The following is a 15,198-nucleotide window of genomic DNA, read 5'->3' as shown; positions in this document are numbered from 1 at the left end:
AAGGGGATTATGGTTTAATCAGATCTGATCCAAATGCCTCTCTGGATCTCCCTTTTGAATATGCTCCATTGAGACCTTGCTTTTGCCACACGATATGCAGAAAGACAATAAGGAGCTTAAGATAGACATATATCTAAGCCCCCTCTGAACTAGAGAAATCAAAATTGCAACAAATTCCTCCCAGTCCTCGGAAGTCTGAGGCATCAATGGCGACAGGCTGGGGAAGATGATTTGTTCTGTATCCACCTGCAACCCCTGTAGATGCTGTAAATAATAAGAGCTTGCTCTTTGACCCCCTTCCACGCCACTGAGATCAAAAAGCCAGGCCCAGAGAAGGTGCCCAGAGTGGTGCATTATTAGCTCCTTATCTCAGCTCACTTTATCCAGGCATCAGGAATCAGATACATGAAATTTAGCTCAGAGAATTCAATCATCATGGAAGAAAATAGAAGTCAAAGACTCTGATCATTTATTTGTTCAATAGTTATTTCTTGAGTACCTACCCTCTCCCTACCATATGTTCGAGTGCCTTTCAAAAGATACCTAAGTCGACTGCCTTTCTAAAGATGGAGAAAAACAGTAGGGATCATCCATGTCTACCCAGGGCTTCTCATCATGGTCAGCGGTAACTGAATACAAGGCCATCTCTGTCAAGATGGACGTACTTAGGGCTTAAAAATAGTGCCAAAGGAATATGAGGAGAGGGAGGCCTCAATATGCTGGCTCCCTAGTGAAGACGGTTTGATCTGTGGAGAAGGATGGGCAGGAGAGTCAAATGACAGAAAAGAAGGCCTTTGGATGGTTACTTTGTCCCCCAGTGTAGCTCCCTGACTCAACTGCCTCCTACAAAGAACTGAAAAAGCTAAATTTAATGACTTGACTTAGCAGGAAGAGTCAACAAAGTAAATAATTTCAAATCAGGGAATAAATAAAGAAGGGGCCTTCAAGTTTAAAATAATCACTGAAGCCAACTTTAGTTTTAAAAATATTTAGAACACCTATCAATACAATGGAATATTATTTGACCACAAAAATGGAGTAATGATATATGCAACAACATAGATGAATCTTGAAAACATTATGATAAGTGAAAAAAACCAGTCATAAAAGACCACATATTGTATAATAGATTTACATGAATTTTCCAGAATAGGGAAATCCATAGTCACAGGAACTAAATTAGTGGTTGACAGGAGCTAGAGGTGGGGGAAAATGGGGAGTAACTGCAACTGGGTATGGGTGTCTTTTGCGGGTAATGAAAATGTGCACAGGTATGTTTATTGCAGCACTATTCACAATAGCAAAGACTTGGAACCAACCCAAATGTCCATCAATGATAGACTGGATAAAGAAAATGTGGCACATATATACCATGGAATACTATGCAGCCATAAAAAAGGATGAGTTCATGTCCTTTGTAGGGACATGGATGAAGCTGGAAGCCATCATGCTCGGCAAACTATTGCAAGGACAAAAAACCAAACACCGCATGTTCTCACTCATAGGTGGGAATTGAACAATGAGAACACTTGGTCACAGGAAGAAGAACATCACACACTGGGGCCTGTCGTGGGGTGGCGGGGAGTGGGGAGGGATAGCATTAGGAGATATACCTAATGTAAATGACGAGTTAATGGGTGCAGCACACCAACATGGGACATGTATACATATGTAACAAACCTGCACGTTGTGCACATGTACCCTAGAACTTAAAGTATAATAAAAAAAAAGAAAATATTATAAAATTAGATAGTGGCAATGGTTGCACAACTCTGAATATACTACAAATCATTGAATTGTTCATTCTACATGAGCAAATTGCATGCAAATTATATCTCAAAGCTGTGAAAAAATAGGAGAGGGATAAGAGGGATAAAGAGAGTGGCTTATAGAGTCATTGTTGAGGCTAAAGGTCAAAATATTGATTAACTCTAGAATTCAAGTTACATATGCTTGTTAAAATTTCTAGGGTACTCACTAAAAGAAGAAAAATAGAGTGTAAAGCTTCTAAGATGAGAAATGTAATAATAAAACATAAAATAACTCAAGAGTAAGGCAAGAAAGAGGAAAATATAGAACAGACAAAATAAATAGAAAAATTAGATGCTATACGGCCAAGTGCAGTGGCTCATGTCTGTAATCCCAGCATTCTGGGTGGCCAAGGCAGGAGGATCCCTTGAGCCCAGGGGTTCCAGACCAGCCTGGGCAATATAGTGACACCTCTTCTCTACAAAAATATATTTTTAAAAAATTAGCCAGGTGTGATGACATGCACCTGTAGCCTCAGCTACCTAGGAGGCTGAAGGGAGAGGATTGCTTGAGCCTGGGAGTTCGAGGCTGCAGTGAGCTGTGATCACACCACTGCACTCCAGCCGAGGTGAATATTTGCTTAGGACACCCTTAAGCCTCCCCTTACCTTGGGTCTAATATGTAATCAGTAATGACGCCTTTTGATGCTTCTCCATGTTACCATTCCTCTCTGTGCCTATCTCTACCACCCTAATTTAGGACTGTGTCACAGCTTATCTTGGGAGCAAGACCCTGTCTCAAAAAAAAATATGCTATAAATAAAAAACACAAATAAATATGTTGAGTATGAATATATACATAGAAATCAATATATTGTGTAGGAATATCAGTAATTATGAAAAATATTGACACATAAAATATTACAGTTAAAAGATAAAGATCGAAGACGATAAAAATAAATTCAGTTTTGTGTTATTTATTTAAATTCAGTTTTGTGTTAGATATGTCCTACATATCTAAGACATAGGATACCACAAGATTGAAAGTAAAATAATGAAAAGATATATATACCAGATAAATATTAAAAAAATAATACTGTATCAATATCAGACAAAATTGACTCAGGGAAAAATATAACTAGAGAGAGAAAAAAGGTCACTATATAATGTTAACAGTTTCAGTTTATCAGAAAGTCATAATCACTCTTAATACATATGTACCTAATATATATCCTGAAAATATTTAAAGCAAATATTTCTATACCTATACAGAAAAATACACAAACTACCACGTTAAAGATTTTGTTTAACAACTATCTTGGTAGCTATTAGCCTAGGCAGAGGATAAAACCATTAAGAATATCAACTGAAATGATACTATTAGCTGCCTCACACAATGGACATTTCTAGAACATTCCACCCAACAATTAAGACAATGAAATCTTTTCAACCAAAATCAACAATATATTGGACCATAAAGAAAATCTCAACACATTTCAAAGGATTTGGTTTCATGCTAAATTCACAAAGCAATTAGGTAAGAAATAGTAGCTAAAAGATAACTAGGAAAACTTCACTTTTGGAAATACAAGCACCCCCTCCTAAATCATTCACACATCAAAGACAAAATCATATTACGAATTCAAGAATATCTAAAACTAAATGGTAATGCTATGTAGCAATTTCCTGCATTATGAAATGCAATTAAAACGATCGTGATAGCAAGACCAGAATCTCAAATGCTTATGTTGGAAAAAGAAAAAAAGCTGAGAAGTATTGAACTAAGCAGCTGTCTTAGAAAGTTAAAAAAAGAACAGCAAATTAAACCCAAAGCAAGTAGAAACATACAATAAAGATAAAAGCAGATTAATAAAATAGAAAAGCAATATACAAAAGAGAGGGTAAAACAAAAGCTAGAAGTTGGCTCCTTGTGAAAAGTAATAAAATTAACAAACGTCTAGCAAGATTGATCAAGATAAAAGGTACAGAACACATGAATAAACAATATTAGGAATAAAAAGGGGAATTTAATTACCAATGCCACCAAAACTAATATGATAAGAACAGATTATCAGGAGCTTTATGCCAAGAAAAGGGAAACTTTAGATGAAAATTAACTTTAACTCACCAAAATATCAAAAAATGTAAGGTGAGCAGAAGGAAGCACTCCAAGAGGGCATTGTCCGAGAAAGACTTGAAGGTAGAAATGGCTTTGGCTTTGTGGGGGACAATCACTGATTTGTTCTATAAGAACTAAAATGAAGTCTGTGTCACACTCCTGGCTAGCTATTATAGGAGACAGAGGAAGTCAGCTTGAATATTACCCCTAAAGTGCTTACAGCATGGTGGAGGGTTTAAGGAATGTACATGATATGTAATGGAAGGAAATGGAAGTTATTCGAAGACTCGCTAAAAATTTAGTGATGACAGGACCTAGGTTTTGTGTTGGACTATGTCAGGATGAGGATAAACAGAGGATGGAGAGGCAGGGTGGAGGGCGCTAAATATGAACCTGAGAAATTTGGACTTCTTTCTGGATCAATAGAAAACACTGATGTTTCTGTCTAAGAGAAAACCATGGCCAAGGTTTAAGATGTATCAAGCTAATGTAGATACACACATATGACAAATGGGATTTGGAAATGTTGAAAGATGAGGCATGGTGGCCACTCTGGAAAATATTGTAGTAGTCAAGATAGACTGTGAGATGGTCCTAAATTAGGGTTGTAGAGATAGACCCAGAGAGGAACAGCAGCATGGAGAAGCATCAAAAGGCTTCATTACTGATTACATATTAGTCCCAAGGTAAGAAGAGGCTTAAGGGTGTCCTAAGATGTCTAGCCTGAGCAAATAGAAATTAAATAAACTTATGACTATTTGTTCAGTCATTTTTTTTTGTTTTGAAGGAATGACTGGGAATTAATACAATCTTTAATGTGTCCTAATTTCTCAAATCAGGTAGCATGTGACCTATGGGAGAATACAAATGCTAATTCAGATATGAAGACTTGGCCATTCTGGCAACTGGACCTTGGCTAAGAAGTCTTCCAAAATAGGCCAATCAACAAACCAGCAGTGTGAAGGTTACATTCAAGATCAAGGATATGTGAGGGTGGACATGGTTCCTCAATGCCTCTCTTTGATCCTCACCAAAGTCTATTGCACATAATGTGGGGAGCACTGAGTCAGATGCAGAATTCTGGGGCCATTGTGCCTGGGTGCACAGGGCCTTCAGCCAGCCAGGGTCCACCCTATTATCATATAAAGAACTTTGCGCTGTGTATTTACTGCCTCACTGGGCTTAATCCAAATGTCAGTGAAACAGATCCAGCTGTGGACGACAATAGCACATAGCAAGAGGAAATGGTTTAATCAGAAAGTCAACTCAGGAAGAATTTTACAGAGGGTGTGAGGTCAGACCTCTTGGTTTTCAGATGATAAAACTGAGGTTCCAAAAGAAAAATATTTCCCCCAAGGCCTGTAGCTTTAAAAGGATGACTGACAGCTAGGTCATCTCCTACCAGGTAGGCTCTTTCCCCTCCAACCACATGCTGCCTCTGGGCAGATAGATTCTGCTTGGAGCTCCACGAACCACTGTGGGGCCTGGTTATTCATGCTTTGTGATGCAGCCTGCTTCCCTAGGTTGCGGGTTATTCTCGCACCATTTCCAAAACCCTCCCCAAAACTCCTTTCTGGATCCTAGGGTGGAATTCATTCTACAACTCTGAGGATCAGGATCAAGGAGCTCTAATTTGTGAGAGAATGGCCCTGGGTGGCACAGCAGTATATGATATATTCTTTGCGTGAAGAGCAAGGTAAGAGTCACTAAAAGGCTTGGCAGAGCAACCATCAATACTCACCCTATGTGAGATACAAATGATACCCATTGGTGTAGCACCTGCAAACTGTAAGCAACTTGAGGACAGAGACCAGTCTTCATGTAGCTATGGGCCTGACAAAGACAAGCAGAAGGTGTTCAATCAACTAATTCTCAGCTGATAGGCTATGGGAATGCAGCATTCTAGATAAGTTTACTGTCATTAAATAAAATTGGGCTTCCATTTTGTATCCATTTTAAATGGACAATTTTTCACAACGCATGACACCCACACTTCCATCTCTTCTACTTTTTTTTAATAACTTGTGATCACCAAGTTGCGTATCTTTTAAAAATGAACCCTGATGTAATACAGGAGGAAGATTGAAAGGCTTCTGACTTTGTTCATGTGATAAATAGCCCCAGACGGCTGCTCTCTTGAGTTTTTCTGTCTGCCTTGGATGGTCTTCCTTTCTCTCTTGTGCAATCTGGCTTCAGCTGCCACTTCTTGGTGCTCCTTTCTTCCCTCACTCAGGTATCCCAGGCACCTCAATATCCAGAGGCTGGAAGAAACATCTCATCTGCACATTTTGAGAAGAAATGGAGCTGCACAAAAGATACAGTCACTAAAACCATCTGTGTGGGTCAAGAGTGGGATTAATCCTCATCACGGGCAAAGTCGTCCCTCTGGGCAGAGTAGCCCCATATTGGAGGGCGATCATACACAATAGGGAAGTTAAATTTAGTTCAGTATAGAGATGGTCTCCCCTGGAAAACAAAGAACCAGGGTTTTTTTTTATCCTTTTTAAATTTTGTTTTATTTTTCAACTTGTTTGACTAAACTGCTTCCTCACACTTGAGAGATACAGACCAGACAAGCCCCTGTTTTTCTGTTGTAGCCAATATTCTCATTATATATATTGCTAGATTAACATTGCCTTATTGTAGTTTGATACTATGGTAATACATCAGCATTCTGTATACCCTGATTATCCAGAACACAAATTTTAAACAGAAAGCTGTCTGTTGCCTGGATTAAGGAAGACATAGGATTATCTTCATTGCTCTCACCCAGAAAACTATATATAATCAGTAAAGACATTAATTTGTCATAGTATTTATTAAGCTTCTACTGTGCATCAGGCACAGCATTATCTAAGAAGATGCTGCCGTCTAAGAAGAATCAAAGTGGGACTGCTGAGTTGGCCACTGAGGGCTTTACTGCCAGGTGTGGCTGATGGAACTGGATGTGGTTTTGTTTGTTTGTTTGTTTGTTTGTTTTTAAAATCTTCTTGGTCTGTACTATGTCAGCTCTTCCTTCTTCTCTGTTCCACATTCTAGTGACACGAGGTGGGGATTCTTCTCCTGAGGTTAAAGAGAGTACCGGGGCAGCAAGATGCAGCGTCGAGGCATCGGGACCCAGAGCAGTGGGCAGATTGTTAGAAACAGGCGAGTATTTGAAGAAAAGAGAAGTGTGAGCTTGAGTTCTGAGACAGGCAGCAATAAGTTAAGCTTCCTTGCTGTTCAGTTTGAATCACTTCTTTGGAAAATCAGGTTCCATGATGTATTTTCAAGATTGAAAATTCAATCACCTTTGCTGTCTGACTTCATTTGACCTGGCAGAAAAGAGGATAAGGAAATGGTGGGGCTTGCAACTGTCGCTCTTTAGAGACAATAAGCTCCCCACAGGCAGGAACAATGTCGTATTTTTTTCCTGCATCCTCTAAACACTGAAAGCAAGGTCAACTTTGCACTGAGTAGGTGCTTAATAGGTCTCTTCTGTCTTATTTTTTTAGCTACACCTATATATAAAAATATTTTTAATTTCAAAGTATGTACATCACCTTATAATATTCAAAGTACTTTCCCACACATTAGCGCCTTTGAATCTTATATTACAAGGCTACCTAGTTTAGTGAACCAGCTGGACTTGGCAGTGTGCAAGCCAAAGGTAACTTTCTTCTATCTCACTGCTGACCCTTTACACCTACTCCGTAGAATCAGTCTTCCCTGTCAGATAAAATCCTGGACAGTTCCTACAGCATTTTCAGTTACTTCATGATTTGGAAAGCCCCAGTCAAGTTTAATATTAAACTTTCAAACCCTCATTCAATATAAAGTCTCTCCTGTTGCCAAGCTTTGGTTTGTCCCAGGCTCAGAAATCTACATCCTACATCAGCAGAGTTGGAGGGGTGTGGACAATTTCAGATTTGGTTTGCTTCACCTCCTCCCTCACTGACCATTTCTGCCTTCTCCATAGTCAGGTGAAGGGAAGGGAAAAGAGATAAGGAAGGAAAGAAAAGGCCTCTCTTGTCAGGCAGAGTTGTAATCTAGTGTTGGTACCTTGAGTGTAGTAATTGTCCATATGTTGGACTTGATCCTTTCTCTCCCAGGTTGCTTTTGTGGGTATTTAGAAATTCTCCTCCACCCCCCATTCTCTGACTGCAGTTCCCTAGTACAATCTCTAGCTAACCCCGCAGGATGCTCCATGGCTTCTACAGCTAATAGTGCAGTCCTTCTGCAGAGCCCACCTCACCCCTAAGCAGGACGCCTCATGGCCAAGGTTCTTTTGCAAGATGGCCCACGGCCTCCTCTGTCCATCAGACTCTACATCTGGCCCACAGAAAACAAGCACCTTTGCCCCACTGTGGTGGGAGGGCAGCTCACTCTATGGTAGCCCTGTCCCTGCTCTGCCACCGCAAGGAACTCCAGCCAGCTGCTCACCTGGGATTTTCTCTGGTTGAGCCACATCCCAGTACCTCTCCCTCCTAAAGTTCACTAGCCATACGTCAAGCTTTCCTGATCTTTGTGTGAAGCCCCTTCCCACTCAGCTTTGAGAGGAGGAAGGGGCAGAAGACAGGACAGGAGGGAACGTTCTGCACACTAACACTCTATCTCCAAAGAACTCTCCGCCTCTCCATTCTCTCCTAATTCTTTACTTAGCCTCCCACAATATAACTTGGAGGAAGGTGATAGCCAAGATTGACCAGCTCATTGTGGAATCACCCTTCAGCGTGGTTTCCCAATTTTGGGTCAGAGAACACAATACCAAAGTCAAGTTAACAGGAAATGTCCCTATTTTAACGATTCGTTAAAAAAAAGGCAAAATTGAAGAGATGAAAGGGAGTAGCCATTAATTTTTTCACTTCCGTCTAACAGGTAACGGAAATAGGCTCCGGCCTTAGTTTATACTGCCACGAGGGGGCAGTATTGAGACTTAAACGAAAGTTGGCCTCAATCACCACGTCTACTGCCCAGAGCTCTCTGAGCCCCCTTGCTTCACAATATGCCCCCTGCTCATCCTCTCCCAATTAAGCACAAGACAAGAGACCTTGCCTTCAGACACCCTGCTGAGCCCTGAAACTGGGCACAGCTGAAGGTTCATAGGGAAAGCCGTACAGGCTGAGTGTCCAGCTATAAGCAATCCTAGAACTAATGGTGATAATAATTGAAAACAGTTACATAGCACCTCTAAGCACTGGTCTAAGCATTTAACATCTTTTAATTAATAACTACATAATCCTTAAAACTATTCCCATGAGGTAGACACTGTTATTATCTGCCATTTTACAGATGAGGAAACTGAGGTACTGAGGGGTTAAATAGATCATCCAAGATCATTCTATTAACTTACAAAGGCAGGCTTCTAGGCACAATTTCTGATGCTTTAATTCTCAGACTTTAGTTAGCCTGAGAATCACCTGGGGAGCTTGTGGAAACACAGATTTCCAGTCCTTCCATTTAGATACTGACTGTGTATCTGGCTTGCAGCCATTTTAACATACCCCCTGTGATTCAGGTGAAGGTCTGTATGCACTAGGGCCTGGTACATCATTTATCCAGAGACAGACTTAGAACTGTCCTCATAACTGTGCGACACCATGGTAAGTAGGCCAAGGATGGACCCATCAGCAGCAACGTGCCAAGGAGAGTCAGTGTGAAGGGCAACTGGAAACTTCCTCAATTCACTCTTTTCCTCTACTTTCATAGTACTGATTGTTGAATAAGTGACATGTTTGTTGAACAAATGAACCTGTTCCCAGGCCCCTGAAGAGTGTGAAAAGAAGTTTACTTTTAATATAGTTTAAAAACACTCCGTAATCTAAAAAATAGCTCACACTATTAAACAACTTCAGCAAATCTTCTGCACTACCTGCCAAGGTCATAGTTTCAATCTCACCTTCAATTATTGATAGATTGCCTGATAATTTGAGAAGAGAGAAACAGACTTTTTTCAAGATTTGGAAAAGGAAAATCCTTTTAATAAGAGATTCCATCCTGATTACATAGCTCTTATCAGGAAATCCCTTGAAAGCTGAATTCCAGAAGGTAACTATTAAAAATGCCATTGAAAAACTGGAAATTATCTGCTTACACAGCTTAGAACAGACCCAGAAGGGATAGTATATTTGGTGCAAAACAAGAATTAAAGATTGTTCTTGCGGCCAGAACTGGACTGGAAGTTTTGAACTACTTTTGCCCCCACAACTCCACTTCTTTTCATGGTTTGGCAATAAAATGCTCAAGGAAGCAGATAAGAAGGCAGAACGCTGGCCATTTTTGACTGAGGTAATGAATGTATTATTAATGATGCCACCATTCAAGATTTTCAACAACAGTGAATCAAACTGTGTTATAGAAATAAAAAAGGCTCAAGCCTGGAGCAGAGCTTGGCCAAAGGACAAGGAAGAGATGTAACAAGGCAGGAGCCAAAGACTGGACATGGATTCGCCTCTTCTAATGAATACCTAGACATGGGGGTCCTAAGGCTCTGGAAAGACTAAGTCCGGGCCCAGTGCTTCAAAGTCAAACTCAAGAGTTACATCAGGAGAAGCCACATTGCCTAAAATCTACATTTACCTATTCTTCCTACAGGGGTCCAAAAATACCAATGGACTTCTGCCAGCAAAATTTCAACTTGCTCAGCTCTGGCCACATGACCCTTGAAAATGGCCCAACCTATCATCTGATTTAGGACTGCTTATTTCTTAAACTTCTTCAGCTCACTCTGAATGAAAATGTTTTCAGAAGCACTTCCAAGTGTAAGACCAATTATGCACATCACGGGAAATTGATTTGCCTGTGTTCCTCCATCCCCCCACCCTCTTCCTACCCCTTCACTCAGTGTTGGATTTCATATCCCTTCACCACCACTTTTGGCTACAGGATGGGGGAGAAGACTTCCAGGCTTTCAGGCTGACCTTGGAGAAGTTACTGTCTCCCTGGGACACATAACAGACATTGACACAACAAGTGAAGGCCAAGCAGAGAATGACCTTGCTACTTTTTGTGTCCACTTGGCCTGGCTTTCAACCACTGGAATAGGAAAAAGCAGCCCCAGCAGGACCTGTGGGTCACAAAACCATGCTGGTTCTTCCTGGTGGTACCTTAGGACACTTTGTTGACAGAAAATTCATAAATGGTTTGTCTAATGTCTTTACCAAGTATCGAGAATAAGCTACAAATCAGACATTATTGTGATCTCTTGTTTCTCATTATTAAATAAAGAAACTACAATTTTAATATATCTTGTTGAAAAGAACCATTTAAGCTAAATATGAATATGGCTTTTATCTAGGATTAATGAACTGAATATTTTAAACTGTCCAATTAGGAAAATGTTTGCCTTTGAGGCACTAAAATAAAAGATTCAGGTTCCCCTGACCGCTACTCTCAGATCAACACCCCAGTGAAAGAAAACGCTATGTAGGTATATACACATTAATTTTTCTTTCTACTGAAATATGTGTTTATCATACATGTATTCATCAGCTTTCATGAATGCTGTCAGATGTGGAAAATTAGCTTTTGCATTTACTAACTCCTCCATGGGAAAGAGGTCCCTCATGTGTTTAACAAAAAGGAGCTTTATTGTTTATGAGATTGAAAAATAAATGTTGCCATGGCTTTACAATCTGGTGATTGGTAATCAGTTTTCATAAATGACCATGAATCACTTCTGTGCTGGCCGGGCTTTGTTTGGAATATGAGATGGCTGTTCTGTCTTACAAGTAAGGAATTATTAATGTACCCTCCCTGGAGGGTTTCAATTTCACTCGTACAAATAGCTGTATATCTACCAAGTGTATGTTCAGTGTGCCTATCTATGAAATTTAAAATTATATGCTTTGTGTAAAACAGAATATATAATAGACTCTGAAATTGAATAAAACTTATTGGACTCATTTTTTATCCTTTGTGACATTTTTCTAGTAAAAGAGTTCAGACAAAAGGCACTGCCACCAAGGAGCCAGGAATGCAAAGTCCTGTCCAATTTAAATAATCACTCCTTTCTGTCATGTTTTACAAAGAGATGTATTCAAACATGCTCTTTGGGCATTTCTATATTCTGTTCTTGGTTTTCACAAATATGAGCAGGCAAAGATCCCCTTTACTCCTTTTGTATGTTTTTGCCACTTTAAAAAAAGTATAATCTTGGCGATTGTCTCATTATAAAAATGAGAGGGCATTCTTCTGAGATAAATAGGACAGAGGCCTGGCTCACATGGATTTTAATTTAGTTCCAAATTTCACATCCCTCTTCTTCTCAACAAATAAGGTAAGAAATAAAGTCCGAGATAATAAGGAGTTCATGGCGAATCCAATCATGCCACCCACCTTTCTAAAATCCTTCAGTGGGATCTGGCACGGTGGCTCACGCCTGTAATCCCAGCACTTTGGGAGGCCAAAGTAGGAGGATCTCTGGAGGCCAGAAGTTCAAGGACCAGCTAGGCCAACATGGCGAAACCCATCTCTACTAAAAATACAAAAATTAGCCAGGCATGGTGGGGCATGCTGGCAATCCCAGCTACGTGAGTGGCTAAGGCATGAGAATCTCTTGAATCCAGGTGGCAGGGGTTTCAGTGAGCCAAGACTGCACCACCGCACTCCAGCCTGGGCCACAGACTGACACTCTGTCTCAAAAAGAAAAAAAAAAGTCCTTCATTGGTTACCTATATCCATATGGCTCAAACTTGTTAGCATGGCCTACAAGGCCTTTCCATGATCCACCCCTTGAAAAACCTTCCAACTTTCTGTCTCCCACTCCCCTTTACTGATACCTCTCTAGGCATGTGAACTCCTTTCATTCTGGGAATGCAGCTCTCTTGCTCTCTCTCTCCCCTACCCCCAACCCCATCCCACCCTCCCTCTTTCCCTTTCCAGTTGGATCCAATGTTGTTGAATGCAACACTACATAAACTCTTTGCTAGTGGTGCTGGCTGGGCCCTGTAGGCGGGAAAATCTTATACCCACACAAGTTCTATGTGTTTATTCCTGTGAAAGGAAACTGCTCACCTCGCAGGATGAGAGGGGTCCAGTGTTATCATCTTGCCACCAGTGGCCACTTTATATTTTCAAGGAATGGTGCAATTTGAGTGTTCAGCACTGGCCTCTGTTGCTGGCAGGCTGGACATTGGTGGTGGGAGTAAATAGATTAGCCTTGGTAACTCAGAATCCGTGTTGCTGAACCCAGGTGTAGCATTCACCTCTGCCATAATGGCCATTCTGTTCATGTATCCCTCAAGCCAGCACTGAAGTAACTGATGACAGAGGCTGGCTGCCATCATCCAGCTGAGTCATTTTGCCTATTTGGTTTTTTAGTGCCTCTTCTTTTGGTGATCTCTGGTGGGTACAACATGTGCTATAAAAATCTTCACACTTCATGACAATTCGCATTTGTCCATGCACATGTTATCAACCCAGACTTCGTTATTGATCTTCCAGTCTGTTTCTATTTGCTGCTGCCTGTGAGGCCATATGTATTAAACCTTTTCTTTTTTCATACAAAATAGATGGCCAAGTGTATTATCCAAAGCTCTTACAATTAAGAGAATTTTCTCCCACTGCTGTTTTTCAAGGATACCTCCAGGCTGTAATAAGGTGGCTGTCCATTTTTGGTTTTTACCCATGTAACAGGTTGACCCATTGGTCAGCAAGATCAGCCTTTTTCCTCTTTCCTCAACTGCTTGCATGAGATCCCACACACAGTCCTAGGCATGAGCCAAGGGATAATCACTAATGCAATAGTAGTGGATGCCACAGGGATCTGGGCTACCTGCTCAGGTACTTGCTTGTGTCCTCTGGTCCTGTTCATGCCCAACCCGGGATGCACCACTTCCATCTTGCAATGGATTGTTGTGGGTCTACCCAACCTACGACTTGGAAAGTCTGACAGGACTCAGCTGATGACGGAGAGTTTCAGCCACATGGTCACCTGTTGCCCCATTGTCAGGCATTCTGTCACTATCAGGGCTCAGCAGTATACTAGGAGCTGATTTTTGTTCTTTTTTAAACCAAAACCAAAAAACACACAAACAAAAAACCATGATTCTCCATTGCAGGTAGCATGCCTTTACTCTAGAACCTCATGGGCCTGCTTTGGGATTCCATCACTAGAGCTTGTCACAACCCCTAGGTGGCATCTCTTGCCACCACCGATGCCTCCAACACCACAGAGTCTACTGGATCATATGGCTGAAGTGGTAGGACTGCAGAAACTTTGCCTGTTCTGGGCCTTCTTAAAGCTAGCAGGCTTTTGTGTTACTTATGTATGGGCCAAAGCAATATCTCTATGATGTGTAGAATACACTACCAATGGAACTGAAAAGTCCTACCAGCACTGTTGTGCTCCCTTCTTCAAGACAGAAGGTGCAGGATGCAACAATTTCTCTTTTCCTTTCAGAGGGATGTTGTGTCATGCTTCTGACCACTGGGTTCCTAAAAATTTTATGAATATAATAGGTTCCTGAATATTTGCAGAATTCCTCTTCTGCTCCCCATGAGTCTTACCATAGCTTTCAGTATGCCACCTACCTCTTCTTCTTCCAGCCCGGTCAACATGATGTCATTGATGTAATGGATAAATGTGATGTTCTGCAAGATGTCCAGAAGTCTTAGATCTGTGTCATCCATTATGGTAGCCCCTAACCTCACGTGGCTGTTGAGCATATAAAATGTGACTAGTGCAACTGAGAAACTGAATATTTAATTTGAACTAATTTTAGTGAAGTTAAATTTAAAGACTGAAACCGGCTGGGCTCAGTGGCTCAGGCCTGTAATCCCAGCACTTTGGGAGGCCGACGGGGCGGATCACAAGGTCGGAGATCAAGACCATCCTGGCTAACATGGTGAAACCCCATCTCTACTAAAAATACAAAAAAATTAGCCAGGTTTGGCAGCCTGCGCCTGTAGTCCCAGCTGGTGGGGAGGCTGAGGCAGGAGAATGGCGTGAACCTGGGAGGCGGAGCTTGCAGTGAGCCGAGATCACACCACTGCACTCTAGCCTGGGTGACAGAACAAGACTCCGTCTCAAAAAAAAAAAAAAGACTGAAACAGTGTAAAATTTTTTTGTTACACATAACTTCACCTTTTGTGTAAGATTACATGGCATGTTAACCATTTCATGGAATAATATTACTATATATAAAGCACTTATGAGGGGCATGCATTATTTCTAGTATTATACATAAACACATCACCAATTGAGCAGATGTCAACAAATTCACTACAATTTTTTTCCAGGTATAAGCGTAATATTGCGTTTTTAAAAATATTTTTTGTAATCAGTAAATATCCCAATAATACCAATATAAAATGTAATTGATAATTAAATTAAAATGTTTATTATTGTTT

At 40.7% G+C, this 15,198-nt stretch overlaps 1 long non-coding RNA gene across 1 annotated transcript in view; it reads right to left on the bottom strand.

The window, feature by feature from the left end:
- LOC105374318 (uncharacterized) overlaps window positions 1-11,982 on the bottom strand; it is a 43,370-nt gene extending 31,388 nt beyond the window's left edge. Inside the window, exons 1-2 of the long non-coding RNA XR_939801.3 lie at window positions 8,290-11,982; window positions 5,609-5,700 (exon numbers count right to left, since the gene is read on the bottom strand). This is a non-coding gene — a long non-coding RNA (uncharacterized LOC105374318). The remainder of the gene's footprint in view (window positions 1-5,608; window positions 5,701-8,289) is intronic.
- Between the last annotated feature and the right edge of the window lie 3,216 nt (window positions 11,983-15,198).

This window comes from Homo sapiens, chromosome 2 (assembly GCF_000001405.40).
Source record: "Homo sapiens chromosome 2, GRCh38.p14 Primary Assembly".
Classification (NCBI taxonomy): domain Eukaryota; kingdom Metazoa; phylum Chordata; class Mammalia; order Primates; family Hominidae; genus Homo; species Homo sapiens.
The sequence above is the reverse complement of the archived record's forward strand: the minus strand, read 5'-3'. Positions and strand labels throughout refer to the sequence as shown.